At 41.8% G+C, this 16,205-nt stretch overlaps 1 long non-coding RNA gene across 1 annotated transcript, besides 1 other annotated feature; it reads right to left on the bottom strand.

Annotated features, from left to right (window-relative positions):
- Nucleotides 1–1,614: 1,614 nt before the first annotated feature.
- On the bottom strand, nt 1,615–8,816 carry LOC124902720 (uncharacterized). The gene is made up of 3 exons (XR_007062789.1): nt 8,462–8,816; nt 5,778–5,864; nt 1,615–1,698 (listed from the first exon to the last, which is right to left on the bottom strand). It is a non-coding gene; the product is annotated as an uncharacterized LOC124902720 (long non-coding RNA).
- Nucleotides 12,322–13,552: a transcriptional cis regulatory region, noted in NCBI's record as "candidate enhancer chr11.4478 targeted for multiplex CRISPR interference". NCBI's record gives its function as "positively regulates TSKU gene expression in K562 cells {active_cell/tissue: K562}" and the evidence as "EXISTENCE:mutant phenotype evidence [ECO:0000015][PMID:30612741]".

The following is a 16,205-nucleotide window of genomic DNA, read 5'->3' on the forward strand; positions in this document are numbered from 1 at the left end:
AGATGTGACCCCATAAATCTTTATAGAAGGCAGAGGAACGGATGGTCTTTCTTCTTTAACTACTTTATGCTGGCTTAGGGCATAGTCCCTACCTATTGGGGATCATGGAACGCTAGCCCTGCTCTGTTTAGTGGAGGGAGGATAGTTCCTTGATGGCCGGGGGTGGTCTCTTCACTTGGAACTGGCTGGAACCCATGTTGCATGATCATCTGAAGCTTGATGGTCTCTGAGTAAGAGGAAATGAATTTGGTTAAAAGATTTAATGGGAACTTCAGGGGCTGGGTACCTTTGCTGTCAGGAATGTTTGTTATAGAGATTTGCAGGAGAATAACAAAACCTGGTCTGTGATCTGTTCTAGGATCTATGTGTTTCCTTAAAGTCTTAACATGAGCGACTCCATTTTGGTTTGGTTTGGTCTGTTGGGGCCTAGTGCATGAGCTCAGTTCAAAACAATGGCCTCCCATAATTTTGTTTAAAAAAAATTACCCCTTTTTGGTCACGTTCTCACCTAGGTGAGAACGTGACCAAAACTTACGGCCTTAGCACCACTCTCAGTTACCATCATTTTGGGTTTCTAGTCTCAGAACATCATTCATAGGTTATGGTGTCCTCATGGTCACACATTTCTTTCAGCTCTTGTCATTCCAGTTGAAGAGAGACCATCTGACATTCTAGAGATGGCTGCATGCAAATATTTAAAATGTCTGAGAGAATACAGTGCACCAGGGAGACTATTATCATGACTATTGGGAGGATAATACCAAGAGTTTGGAGTATGCTCCTTACCCAGGGTCCCCATAAACCAAACCTCCTAAAATTAAATAGATTAAAGAATGAGCTACGTAAAGAGTCTACTCACTTAACTAAGCAGGGTCTTCGTTAATCTGCTACAACTGAATCTCTATAATACCCAATGTTTTTTCCATAGGCCATGAGGGCCAGCAGCTTCACAGATACTTCTCTGTTCAGCCAATTCGATCATAACCTTCACAAGAGAACTTAAAGTCTGTTGTGTAACTGTAGCCTTTACAGTAGAATTTGCTATAGAGCCTATCTTGAGGGATACATTTCTAATCATTGCTTATTTTACTCCAAACCATGGAAAAGGACCTAACTAATGATGCCCTTCTAGAAGAGTGAAGGCCTCCTGACAATGTTCTCTTTAACCTATGATGTGCATTAAGAGGAGTGAACCAATGTTCTGTTTCTGACTGATTGTGAGGCAATGTATGTACCATTAAGGTTTCTCACCTACATTGGGCCTCCATCTTTTATCTATCAAAGTACAAGGTTATCCATGTATAAGACTAGCTGCAAACTCCTTCACAAATAAAAGTATACCCCATAAGTGCACATAACAGACCCCTTTTCCACTTCTATTATTCGTAGTGGCATAGGCAAGGAAAAAAATATTCAAAGATAAGGATCTCATGATAGTTGAGAAGTCTTGATTCATGATCCTGGGAAAAGCTGTTCACATCAAGTATGCCATCTTATTCTGGGGAGAAACTTCCCTAGTTAGCTTTACCTTAAGGATTCCAATGGATATACAGTTCCAAGAATGTGGAGGGACCCTTCTCAGTTGTGAGATTATAAACCCAAAGTTCAAGGTCCCAAAATTTTGCTGTAGTGTGGATGGCAAGGACAGTCTTTCTCTGATGTTCTCAGAAGATCCAAACCATAAAAAGCTTTCTTTACCTGGTGAAAATATACCATAGCATAATAATCTACTGTTATAACATCAGCCCTCTTGCATCGGAAAGCTTTTATACAACCAGAAAACATGCATTGAAAATAACAATTGAGGCAGGGTGCAGTGGCTCATGCCTGTAATCCCTACACTTTGGGAGGCTGAGGTGGGCCAGTCACTTGAGGCCAGGAGTTCGAGACCAGCCTGGCCAACATGGTGAAACCCCATCTCTACTAAAAATACAAAAATTAGCTGGGTGTGGTGGCACGTGCCTGTAATCCCAGCTACTCAGGAGGCTGAGGCAGGAGAATCCCTTGAGCCTGGGAGGCAGAGGTTGCAGTGAGCTGAGATCATGCCACTGCACTCCAGTCTGGGTGGCAGAGAGAGACTCCCCAAAAAAAAAAAGAAAAAAGAAAATAACAATTGAAAGAAATTCCTTTATAAAATGTTTAAATGGCCCATCAGGTGACCAAATGTACCTGAAGCTTTGATTGTTTTCCCAGAAATATGGGACCAAACATTGGTTATAAACTATTTTAGCAATGTATAAGTCACCACACCAATATATTCAATTTGGATCATTTTATCTTTTCCATGATGAGTTGTGGAATGCAGAACTTTTAATAATAAAACCTTGAAGGACTCAAGAAGGACAAGGTGGTCATCCTGGTTCTCCATGAGTCCATGCTTAATTAACATTAGACTTATATCCTCTTGAATACCAGTTGTTTCTTCAAATTATTTGAATAGCACTGGTAACTGATGGGTTATCATAAGTAATTTGACTTAGACCATGGAGTTCATTCAAATTGTATATCTAAACAATTTCAGTATCAGCTGGTTTAACATGAAAATCTGACAAAATATTTTCTTAGTATTTAATTAATTTTTTGTTCTACTTGGATTAGTAGCTTTATACAAGGAAATTTAGTTATTTCTGTGGTTTACAATCAGTTAACATAATAACCATAATTATGATTGATAGCATATACTCAGACATATTAGAATTTTGGAAATCCCATACAATTTTGGAACATATATTAATATTTCACACACAGAATTTTTTATAAGATTTATTTTTTAAAAACCTTCCACAACTTGTTCAAACCTTTAGATTTATCTTAACTTAAAACAATTCTTTAACACTTGGCAAAAAAAAAAAATCCACATTCCCATGCCTTCTTATAATCTTTTACCAATAACACATTTTACTCTTCTTACACACCTTGCATGTAAAACAGTTTCTTCAGTAGTCTTGATTACATGTTACAATGTTAACTCTTTGCAACTTTACTTTTAGTGAAAACCTTGGTAAGTTTAGGATTTTTTTTTTTTTTTTGGGACAGTGTCTCGCTCTGTCACCCAGGTTGGAATGCAGTGGCATGATCTTGGCTCTGACTGCCAGGTTCACGCCATTCTCCTGCCTCAGCCTCCTGAGTAGCTGGGACTACAGGCACCCGCCATGACGCCCAGCTAATGTTTTGTATTTTTAGTAGAGACGAGGTTTCATCATGTTAGCCAGGATGGTCTCAATCTCCTGACCTCGTGATCCACCTGCCTCAGCCTCCCAAAGTGCTGGGATTACAGGCATCAGCCACTGCGCCCGGCCAAGTTTAGGATTTTAATTATGTACAAGGTGTGGAGCCTAGGACCCACACAGAAGTGCAAATAAAGTCTGACTTCTTCCAGTGTCTAACTCCACATGTCCCAGGTCTTACCTAGCTGTAAAGCAGGCAGGTTGTACAATTAAGAGTCATGGTGTCATTTTATGAAGCATTTAGGTGGCCTAATCACCTTTAAATAGTACATTTCTTGCATAAATTCTCTTTCATAAATTCTTTCATGACATACACAGACGATGTATGACATGCTTGGACTTTCTGATTTGTCCTAAACATTCCTCTTTTAAACAACCAATTATTTTACTTTAGGACAAAAATTTACCATATAAGATCCTTTCGTATGTAAAATATCTTTTCTTTATAACCTTCTTTGCATAGCTAGGGGGCATGGCTAATTTCACACATCCCCAGGCCTTATCTAGAATCTAATGCTCCAAAATAAATTGAACAATTTTTAAAAGTCAAAGAAGCAGTTTATGACCTAAAGTATTTAGCAAACCTAGTATCTGACCTGCATAATTTAAGCCAAATGTTTACAATTTTTGAAGATATTTTTATTTTACCAATAATCTTTAAAACTGTCTTTGTTCCCAAAGATTACTTAAGTCACATGAACTAAATAAAAGGCATTGGATGGCCGGGTGCTGTGGCTTATGCCTGTAATCCCAGCACTTTGGGAGGCTGAGGAGGGTGGATCACCTGAGGTCAGGAGTTCAAGACCAGCCTGACCAATATGGTGAAAGCTCATCTCTACTAAAAATACAAAATTAGCCAGGCGTGGTGGCTCATGCCTGTAGTCCCAGCTACTCAAGAGGCTGAGACAGGAGAATCACTTGAACCTGGGAGGCAGAGAGAGGTTGCAGTGACCGGGATCATGCCACTGCACTCCAGCCTGGCGACAGAGAGAGACTCCATCTCAAAAATAAAATAAAATTTTTAAAAAGGCATTACACTTTCTACTTTTCTGACAAAATATTTAAGCTCTTATATCAGGGGAACCCGCCCCCAGTATTTCAATGTAGGTTCTTTCTATTTTCCCTAAGTGTTGGCTGGTCTGAGAAATAAAGAGAAAGAGTACAAAGAGAGGAATTTTACAGCTGGGCCGCTGGGGGTGAATCACATATCTGTAGGACCATGATGCCCACCTGAGCCGCAAAACCAGCAAGTTTTTATTAGGGATTTCAAAAGGGGAGGGGGTGTAAGAACAGGGAGTAGGTCACAAAAATCACATGCTTCAAAGGGCACAAAGGAGAACAAAGATCACATGCTTCTGAGGAAACAGAGCAAGGACAAAATCAGGAACTCCTGATAAGGGTCTATGTTCGGCTGTGCACGTATTGTCTTGATAAACATCTTAAACAACAGAAAACAGAGTTTGACAGCAGAGAACTGGTCTGACCTCAAATTTACCAGGGTGGGGTTTTTTCCCAACCCTAATAAGCCTGAGGGTACTGCAGGAGACCAAGGCATATTTCAGTCCTTACTCAACCATATAAGACAGACACTCCCAGAGTGGCCGTTTATAGACCTCCCCCCAGGAATGTAATTCTCTTCCTGGAGTATTAGTATCAATCTTCCTTGCTAGGAAAAGAATTTAGCGATATCTCACCTACTTGCACGTCCATTTATAGGACTCTCTGCAAGAAGAAAAATATGGCTCTTTTTGCCCGACCCCGCAGGCAGTCAGACGTTATGGTTTTCTTCCCTTGTTTCCTAAAATCACTGTTATTCTGTTCGTTTTCAAGGTGCACTAATTTCATATTGTTCAAACACACATGTTTTACAATCAATTTGTACAGTTAATGCAATCATCACAGTGGACCTGAGGTGATGTACATCCTCAGCTTACGAAGATAACAGGATTAAGAGATTAAAGTAAGACAAGTGTAAGAAATTATAAGAGTATTATTAGGGAAGTGATACATGTCCATGAAATCTTCACAATTTATGTTCCTCTGCCACAGCTCCAGCTGGTCCCTCCGTTCAGGGTCCCTGACTTCCCACAACACTCTTATTATTATTAAACCAATCAATTAAAGCTCTTTTACATTACACACACAACACATATAAATACACAGACAGGCAGAAGATAAAGGACTCATTCCCTAAGCCAGGAATTGAAACCTAAACCTGGGCCGCCATTGTGAAAAGAGAAAGCATGGCCACATGGTTACAAGGTCAAGCTCCCAAGGACATGACTGACCAGTTTGCTGGGCAGCCTTGAATAGCGAGCCTATAGGTTCCCAGGCATGCATTTTATCCTAAGGTGCCCCTCTTTATAACAGAACAGTATAGAAAGTCACATAAAGCACTCCGGATTCACTACAGTTTAAGACCAGCCTCAGAATTCTTTTTCTGTATTAATCAAAACTTTGCAGAGGAGATAAACAGTGACTTTTACCATTTATTTAACCAGTTTGCAGAGAGAGACAGAGACCAGAGTCTGACTGGTAAGAAATTCTTACCTTTTTGCTGGCATGTCAGGCTTCTGAGTTCTTTCTCCCTGAGTGGCCCTAGTGGCCCTGCTTAACTGTATGCAGACAAACACATTGCTGTGAATTAAGAATATTCACAAATAGTTTACAAATTTTGGAAAAATTAGGCAGAGAGAGAAATATGACTCAAATTCTATTTATGAAAGTATGCTCAACACACTTAACATATCAGGAAGCTTAACTCCAAAAAGCTAGTTTAAGATTAAAAAGCCGGTGTGTTCCATTAATTCCTGAAAGCCTGACAAAGGTAGCCTAGGAATTTCAGCTAAATGGAACCAATGATGACTTGCTAGAAACACATAAGAAACAAAATAACTATCCACAGAATCAAATAAAACCCTTCCACTAGAAACTAAAAAAATTCATGGTGTTATATATACATGCATACACAAGCAAAGCCCAGAGGGGAATAAACAGCAAACAAATGAAAATTAGAAGCAAAAACAAATAAACAGGAAACCAACCCTTAATTTTTCCTATTCAATCTACCCTGGAGGCTATGGTGTTACCCAGGGCCCCCCAAAACCCACATGATGAATATTTTATTCCTGATACACAATTCAATATCCTTAAGTTCACCAATATCATCATACATCCTGTGCAATCAAGAAATTCACTGTAGGCACATGACCAATAAGTACTCCAGTGTCAGCACTATCCATGCAAAACAGTAAACATTGTGTGAAGCAATGCAAGCATGGATGTGAAATTTGGCTCCACGCTAAATCCAGCTTCATGCTTAACTATATTTAAAAAAGAATTGCCAAACTGCCAATGCATTTCTTTACAATATTCATTTTATTTTAATCAAGACTATGAGCTTTAACCATGAAAATGTTAATTAGCCAAATGTCTCCAATTCTGTATCAGGTTTTAAAGAACATTTTATTATCCAAACATTTCCATGTCTTTCTCCCCTACTTACTAGTTCTTTACTACATTGTTTCATAAATAACCTTTTCAAATCTGTAATTTGAACCAACTTTTAGATAACTTCTGAATTAGACAAAGTTATTCTTTTCTCACTAATAACATAACCCTTTCTGGCACATTTTGTATAGAGAATTATGTGTTAACTAGAATTCTTATTTTTAGTAACCTAAAACTTTAGTGAGACCCTAAAAAGCAAGAAATCCTGAACCATCAGCTATGGGCATTTATAGACAAGAACAATTCCACAATTTTAGAAATATATTTCCCTATATCATAACCCTTTCTCAATTGGAAATGACTCATATATTCAATGATCATCAAAAATAATCTTAAGATTTTAATTTATGCAAAAAGTTTACTTAAAACATTTATCCCATGTACATACACTCAATTCCTTCATTTTAAAACAGTTTATCTAGATTACTTCTGTAAACTGAGATATTGGACACTATCATTTGAAGTTAGTTATTTCCTTGTTAACCATGTTTTTAATCACCAGTGAACATCAGATGCTCAGCTAAACCTAAGTAAGAACCTCAAAGTTAAATACATAGGTATTTTTGCCAACAACTCAAAAGATTTAGCTAACATTAAATTACTCTTATATGTCAAAAAAAGGTACACAAACCAAGATCATTTTGTTTATAGTTTTATATGTACAAACTGGGTTTATATATACAGGCTGGGTTTATAGTTTTACAACCTTCTATGCTAAACCCTGACATCTCAAAATATCTAGCAGAGACAAATATAAAATCCAGACAAAAATGTATGCTGACAATTCTGAAGGCATTTCTATTTTTATTTTACCAATTATTTTAAAGCCAGCTTGTTTTGTAAAGTTATACTTAAGTCACGTGAACTTGAAAATTGCTTGGACTTATTTGCTTAATTTATTAGCGCTCTTTTACTTATAAGCCAATCTGGTAGACACAACATATAACAATAAATTATATACAAATAAACACATCTATACATGTATACACACACATGAATGAAGATCTAATAGCTTGGAATCCTAGTCATGAGATAGCAATACAAGCTCACTGGTTTTACTTTGCCCCAGTAGGTAATCCAACAAAGGCTGTGAACCAAAATTTCAGGTAAAGAAGTTTCCCTGGCAGTTTGATTTTTAAAGCCAAACCTCCCCAGACTCCAAAGAATATTGGGGCCAAACAGCACCAAAGGAGAGCATCACAGGTTAACCAGGCCCCCTGCTTAGAACAGCAGCACAAAAGCCTGGCCACATGCAACGCCACCCCACTTTCCCAATCAACAGCAAACTTCAGATTCCAAACAACATTGGGGCCAAATGGTATTGCAACTGTGAGAGAAAATTCATAGGAGGGCCTAGCACTGGGCCTCAGCACTTCTGCCAAGGGCATCCCCTTTGGAGAGGTTGAGGACCGGAGGATCTCCCGGAGCGTCCCCCTTTGGGGTCCAATCTTAGAGTGTCAGATGTCTCTGACCTTAGGTGGGCACTGGTGCCAGTTGCAAGTTTTCCCACCAGAGGCGATGGCCCACTGTGAGCTTTCCTTTTGTCCCAGGATGAAGGCCTCGACTTCTAGCATCCTTATAATTTGATAAGGCCAAGCTTTCCCATGTTTCCTGTTCCATGAGCTTTAAAGATAGGAACTGAAGGCTAGGCAGGTTTCTCTGCCCTTAGCTAGTGGAGTAGGGGAAGGGAAGAATTTCGCATAAGAAAAGAAGGTTTAAGTCACCTGAAACTCATGTGAGTTTGCCCGAGCTGCACCAAATGTAGGGATCAGGGACCACAACTGGAAAAGATAAAAAATTGTCCTTCAGAGTGGCCCTGGCCAGAAGCCTGCAGTTGCCTCTGTGTTTAGGCGCTGCCCACCAAGTGTCCCAAGTTGGAAAGGAAAAGAGAGAGAGAGAGAGAGAGAGAGAGAGAGAGAGAGAGAGAGAAAGAGAGAGACTCACTTGTATAGAGCAGAAAAGAAAGGGGAAAGGAGAAAAATAAATCCCAAACTTTGGGCTTACCTCCTGGCTGGTTCACTAAGATATGTTACCAGTTAAAGGTGTCCAGGTTCTTGGCGTCTTGAACAAAGAATTGGACAAAACACACAAACAAAGCAAGGAAAGAATGAAGCAACAAACACAGAGATTTATTGAAAATGAAAGTATACCCCATAGGGGCGTCGAGCATAGGGGCTCAAGAGCCCCATTACAGAGTATTCTGGGTTGAAATATACTCTAGAGGTTTCCATTGGTTACTTGGTGTATGCCCTATGTAAATGAAGAGGATATTTCCTGTCGTAGCTGAAGTGTTTCCATTTGATTTAGTTCTAGGAAGTCCAGCGTGGATCGGCCTTAGGTTCTCTGCCTCCTGCCTCAGAAGAACAGAGGAGCGTCAGGGACCCAAAATACCCCTGTGGCTGCCCTCATGCTGGCCCTTAGCAATCAAAGAAATACAGATTTAAATACTAAGGATTTTGTTTTGTTTTATATCTAGGAGGAGGTCCCTAGTTTGGAGAACAGGCTGTTTCATACCCAGCTTGAGACACAGCATTGGCACAAACCTTGCTGAGGAGCAATTTGGCAATATGTTCCCTATGCCCTAAAAATTGCCTCAGTAATTTCACTTCTGTAATACTCTTCTTAGGAAACAATTATAGGTAAGTAAAAGATTTAGCTACAATAATACTTATTTTGCTACTTATAATAGCAAAAATATTGAAGACATTCTAAAGATTCATCAATAGCATGGCTGTTTAAGTAACTTATGTCTCAGGACAGAATATTGGCAACCATTAAATTTCAGCTGCATGGCCAGGTGAGGTGGCTCACACCTGTAATCCCAGCACTTCAGGAGGTGGAGGCAGGAGGATTGCTTGAGCCTAGGAGTCAGAGACCAACCTGGGCAATACAGTGAGACTCATCTCAAAAAAAGAAGAAGAAAAAGAAAAAAAAAATTAAGCTGCACAGCTCTCCCTCTCCCTCTCCCTCTCCCTCTGCCTCTCCCTCTCCCTCTCCCTCTCCCTCCACGGTCTCCCTCTGATGCCGAGCCGAAGCTGGACTGTACTGCTGTACTGCTGCCATCTCGGCTCACTGCAACCTCCCTGCCTGATTCTCCTGCCTCAGCCTGCCGAGTGCCTGCGATTGCAGGCGCGCGCCGCCACACCTGACTGGTTTTCGTATTTTTTTGGTGGAGACGGGGTTTCGCTGTGTTGGCTGGGCTGGTCTCCAGCTCCTAACCGTGAGTGATCCGCCAGCCTCGGCCTCCCGAGGTGCCGGGATTGCAGATGGAGTCTGGTTCACTCAGTGCTCAATGGTGCCCAGGCTGGAGTGCAGTGGCGTGATCTCGGCTCACTACAACCTCCACCTCCCAGCCGCCTGCCTTGGCCTCCCAAAGTGCCTAGAGTGCAGCCTCTGCCCGGCCGCCACCCCGTCTGGGAAGTGAGGAGTGTCTCTGCCTGGCTGCCCATCGTCTAGGACGTGAGGAGCCCCTCTGCCTGGCTGCCCAGTCTGGAAAGTGAGGAGCGTCTCTGCCCGGCCGCCATCCCATCTAGGAAGTGAGGAGCGTCTCTGCCTGGCCGCCCATCGTCTGAGATGTGGGGAGCGCCTCTGCCCCACTGCCCCGTCTGGGATGTGAGGAGCGCCTCTGCCCGGCCGCGACCCCATCTGGGAGGTGAGGAGCGTCTCTGCCCAGCCGCCCCGTCTGAGAAGTGAGGAGTCCCTCCGCCTGGCAACCGCCCCGTCTGAGAAGTGAGGAGCTCCTCCGCCCGGCAGCTGCCCCATCTGAGAAGTGAGGAGCCCCTCTGCCCGGCAGCCACCCCATCTGGGAAGTGAGGAGCGTCTCCACCCGGCAGCCACCCCGTCCGGGAGGGAGGTGGGGGTCAGCCCCCGCCAGGCCAGCCGCCCGGTCCGGGAGGGAGGTGGGGGGGTCAGCCCCCCGCCCGGCCAGCCGCCCTGTCTGGGAGGTGAGGGGCGCCTCTGCCCGGCCGCCCCTACTGGGAAGTGAGGAGACCCTCTGCCCAGCCACCACCCCGTCTGGGAGGCGTACCCAACAGCTCGTTGAGAACGGGCCATGATGACAATGGCAGTTCTGTGGAGTGGAAAGGGGGGAAAGGTGGGGAAAAGATTGAGAAATCGGATGGTTGCCGTGTCTGTGTAGAAAGAAGTAGACATGGGAGACTTTTCATTTTGTTCTGTACTAAGAAAAATTCTTCTGCCTTGGAAAAAAAAAAAAAAAGAAACTGGTAAAAAAAAAAAAATTAAGCTGCACATAGGCAATTTTTTTTTTTAAATCTTTGATTCCTATCTCACATCTTATATAAAAATTAACTCAAAATGGATCACAGACCTAAATGTAAAACAAAATGTTGCAATTTTTAGGAAAAAACATAGGAGAAAATCTCTAAGATCAAGGACTAGGCAAAGGGATTTTTAGACTTCAGATCAAAAGCAGACTCCACAAATGAAAAAAATTGATAAACTGGACCTCATCAAAATTTAAAAGTTTGTTTTATAAAAGAACCTGTGAAAAAGATGAAAAATTAAAGTACAGGTTGAGCTAAAATAGTTGCAAACCACACATCCAACAAAGAACCTATATGTAGTATGTATAAAGAATTCTCAAAACTCAGCAGTAAAAAGAACAAAATCTCAATCAGAATATGGGCAAAAAAACATGAACAGATATTTCACCAAATAAAATATACAAAAGGCAAATAAGCACATTAAAAGATGTTCCACATAATTGGCCATCAGTGAAATGCAAATTAAAACCACAATGATGTAACACTACATACCTACCACAGCGGCTAAAATAAAAAATAGTGACAACACCAAATGCTGGCAAGAATGTGGAGAAAGTGGATCACTTGTGCAAAGCTGGTGGGAATGCAAAAGGACACAGCCATTCTGGAAAACAGTCTTATAATTTGTTATAAAACTAAACAATACACTCATCATACAACCCAGCAATCACACTCTTAGGCATTCATCCCAGAGAAATGAAGACATATTCACACGAAACCTGGACACAAACCTTCATAATAATCATCTGTAATAGTCAAAAAGGGGAAACAACTCTGATGCTCTCCAACAGGTGAAAGGTATAGAAACCATAGTATATCCATACTATAAAATCCTGCATAGCAATATAAAGGAACACATTATTGACACTTGTAAAGGTTTCAAAGGAATTATGAAATATATCCAATCCCAAAATGTTATATATTATATGATTCTAATAATATATAATATAATATAATATATGATTCTAATAATATATAATATAATATAATTATAATAATATACAATATATAATATATTAACATTAATATATATTAATATATATTATATATAAAATATATATTATAATATTATATAGTTATATATTAATAGTATATAATATTATTGATAATCAATATAATAATATTGAAATAATGTTAAGATTATGTAGAATATATAATATTCTTGGAATCATATAGCATGTAACAAAAAGTAGTATGTATGTAATCAAACGAATACACACTTTAGTGTATTTCTTGCATTACAATGTAATCATAGAAATACACTATACTATCTTTATACCCTATAAGAATGGTATGTAACATTCCAATCATACTTACTATATAATTTCAAGAATACATAATATTCTTTCTTTTTTTTTTAACTCAGGGTCTTGTTCTGTCACACAGGCTGGAGTACAGTGGCGCGATCTCCGCTCACTGCAGCCTCCACCCCTCCCCCGATATCTGCTGATATGACTAGTCCTGCCTGGACACTGCAGGGACACACGACATCCATCCCCCTTTCAGGAGAAGGAGGTGGGAGGGAGACATAGGAGGCATCTCAGTGCCAAGCCTCCCCAGCACGCACACACACACAGAGGAGCCTGCGTGTATTCATCCACACACCTCACTGCCCAGGAACGACTTCCAGGGTTCCCAAATCCCTCATATCCCACCAGGAATTTCAGCTCTGCTCTTGTAGCCCTAAGGGAAATGAGTCAGTGGGAGGAGCTGAGGAAAACAAAGAGAGGAAGGAAGGAGGCAGTTCCGGGTTTCCCACAGGAGTTCTGAGGTAACTTTATGAGAGTCACTTCTCCTCTTGGAACCTCAGCTTCCTCATTTGCCAATCAGGGTGTGGGTCCCTATCCTAAACCACACTGGGGCCACCATGAGGATCCAATAAGATCAGGAATAGAAAAGAGCTTAGAAAAATCAGGGACCTGGGTCAGATAGCAGAGGGTGGTACAGGGGCTATTGCTGTATAAAGTGGTCTGAGATCTTCCTTCCTTCCCTTCTCATTCATTCATTCATTCATTCATGCCTTCTCTCTTGGCCAAGCCCTGAACCAGGCAGTAGAGATGGAGAGATGAGTCAGCCAGGGTATTACCCTCAGGAGTACCCGTGGTGGTAGTGATGTGGGATGGGGAAGGGAGAAATGGAATCAACTCAGTCTGCGGAACACAAGGAAGGCTTCATGGAGGAAGTGACCTGGGGCTGGGATTTGAAGAAGTAATAAGAGTTTGCCCTGATGCACAAGATGGGGAAGGGCATAGCAGACTTACAAAGCAAAGGCATAGACATGAAAAAGCACCTCCCCCTCTCAGTGCATGACAGATTCCAGGAAGAGCTTTCTAAAGATACGTGCAAAGAGGGAGAAAGACTTCTAGGAAAGGAAGGGCGTGTGAAGGGGCCAGCTTTGTTTGGAATGCTCTGGCGAGTCAGCATTATGTGGTGAATGGAGGGGCTGGAATACAAGGCCTTTTGGGTTTTCTTAGGTCTAAGCTCTGAGTTAACCCTGATTAGAAAGAAAATATAAGGTTTCTATGCCTCTGCACCCAAGAAGCAGTGCCACATCTGAGGACTAAAGAAAAATCTCGAGCTAGGCACAGTGGCACACACCTGTAATCCCAGGACTTTGGCAAGCTGCAGTGGGAGCATTGCTTGAGCCCAGGAGTTCGAGACTAGCCTAGGCAACATAAGGAGACTCTGTCTCTAACAAAAAGAAAAAAAAATTCGCCTGGTGTGGTGGCACATGCCTGTAGTCCCAGCTACTTAGGAGGCTAAGGTGTAAGGATTGCTTGAGCCTGAGAGGTTGAGGCTGCGGTGAACCATGATGGCACCACTGCACTCCAGCCTGGGTGACAGAACGAGGCCCTGTCACAAAAAAAAAAAAAAAAAAAAGGAAACGAAAAGAAAAGAAAAATATTGAGCCAGGGTCACGCTATTACCAAACTCACAGGTGAGGTTTGCATGCTCTGGCAGGCAACCTCAAACACCCACAGCCTCTCTTGCCAGGGGCCTGAGGGCATTTGTCTTCCCATAATTAAGTCTTGGCATCCCATTCTGAGTTTTTCCAGGGAGGACCTGGGCCCCAGGCCTTCCGCCTGAGTAAAAACCTGTTAAAGCATGTGTGGGCTGGGTGTGGGCTATGTGGAAGGGCCAAGATGAAATGGCCAGCGCCTGCACTCCCAGCAGAAGAGGCAGCCCAGTCAGCATCCTGACCTCTGAGGACTCCCAACTAGCACCCAGTGATACACAGGACTTTTCTCCTTCTGATGCCTATAATCAATTTCTCCCTAATTCCCCTGAGATCTGCCCCCTGAAAACACAGGTCCAGTCATCCCCATTAAGCACTGGTCTCCTCCCCTGCCAAGACTGGGAGCTTTTGGCTTCTTTCTCTGCCCTCAAGGACAGTAGCTGAGTAAACTGAATATTATCCTGGTTCAAGCTGACTCAGAATGGAGAGGAAGAGGAATTTGTAGGGTAATCTCTAGGAGTCCAGGCCTTTGTGATGGTCTAGAGACAGTGGCTGAGGTCTGAGCTGGGCCGAGGACCTGGATAGGAAGAGAGACCACAAGACTCTGTGACTGACTGAATATGGGAGTGAGAGGGAGGGGTGCAGACCAAAAGTAAAATTCTAAGCCCCCCAACTGACTGAATGGACCCCCATCTTGGCCAAGGGGATCCCCCAAAAACCTGAAAAACTAGTACAGGCCATGACAGGAAGAGGAAGTCCAACATGTCTCCTTATAACCACTTCCTTTGGAGTTTAGGCACAGCTGACCAATGTCTATATTAAAACAGAGATCATAAGACTGACAAAACAGACTATTTGTAGCAATAAGATACCAAATTCCAACCTAGCTCTAGTATAGCATCACATGACGGATAGCAGGCCCTGAAAGAAATCTAAGTATTTTAGCCCAAAATATATCTCTTTGACATATCCTGAAATGACCCTGCAAAGCTGGTCTTTTGCTGGGGAAGTGTGCATTCTGTAGATAATCTCCTTCCCTTAAGTGGGTCTTTTCCAGGGAGTCTAATACCCTTTAAGTTTCCATAAGAGACATTTACCATCTACTGCTTACTTAGAGGCTTTGTCTATATAACAAGAACATAGCAAGAACCTTGGCTTCCAGTCCCCTTATCTCAATGCACATCTCTCTTTCTGCTGACTCAATTCTTTAGGAAAAGATCAACTCTTTCAACCAATTGCCAATCAGGAAATCTTTAAATCCACCTATGACCTGTAACCCCCCAGCTTAGAGATGTCCTACCTTTCTGGGCTGAATCAATGTATACCTTGAAAGTATCAATTTATGTCTTTTTTTTATTATTATACTTTAAGTTTTAGGGTACATGTGCACAATATGCAGGTTAGTTACATATGTATACGTGTGCCATGCTGGTGTGCTGCACCCATTAACTCGTCATTTAGCATTAGATATATCTCCTAATGCTATCCCTCCCCACTCCCCCAACCCCACAACAGTCCCCAGAGTGTGATGTTCCCCTTCCTGTGTCCATGTGATCTCATTGTTCTATTCCCACCTATGAGTGAGAACGTGTGGTGTTTGGTTTTTTGTCCTTGCGATAGTTTGCTGAGAGTGATGGTTTCCAATTTCATCCATGTCCCTACAAAGGACATGAACTCATCCTTTTTTATGGCTGCATAGTATTCCATGGTGTATATGTGCCACATTTTCTTAATCCAGTCTATCCTTGTTGGACATTTGGGTTGGTTCCAAGTCTTTGCTATTGTGAATAGTGCCACAATAAACATATGTGTGCATGTGTCTTTACAGCAGCATGATTTATAGTCCTTTGGGTATATACCCAGTAATGGGATGGCTGGGTCAAATGGTATTTCTAGTTCTAGATCCCTGAGGAATCGCCACACTGACTTCCACAATGGTTGAACTAGTTTACAGTCCCACCAACAGTGTAAAAGTGTTCCTATTTCTCCACATCCTCTCCAGCACCTGTTGTTTCCTGACTTTTTTATGATTGCCATTCTAACTGGTGTGAGATGGTATCTCATTGTGGTTTTGATTTACATTTCTCTGATGGCTAGTGATGGTGAGCATTTTTTCATGTGTTTTTTGGCTACATAAATGTCTTCTTTTGAGAAGTGTCTGTTCATGTCCTTTGCCCACTTTTTGATGGGGTTGTTTTTTTCTTGTAAATTTGTTTGAGTTCATTGTAG

The sequence above is a fragment of the Homo sapiens genome, chromosome 11 (assembly GCF_000001405.40).
Source record: "Homo sapiens chromosome 11, GRCh38.p14 Primary Assembly".
NCBI lineage: Eukaryota > Metazoa > Chordata > Mammalia > Primates > Hominidae > Homo > Homo sapiens.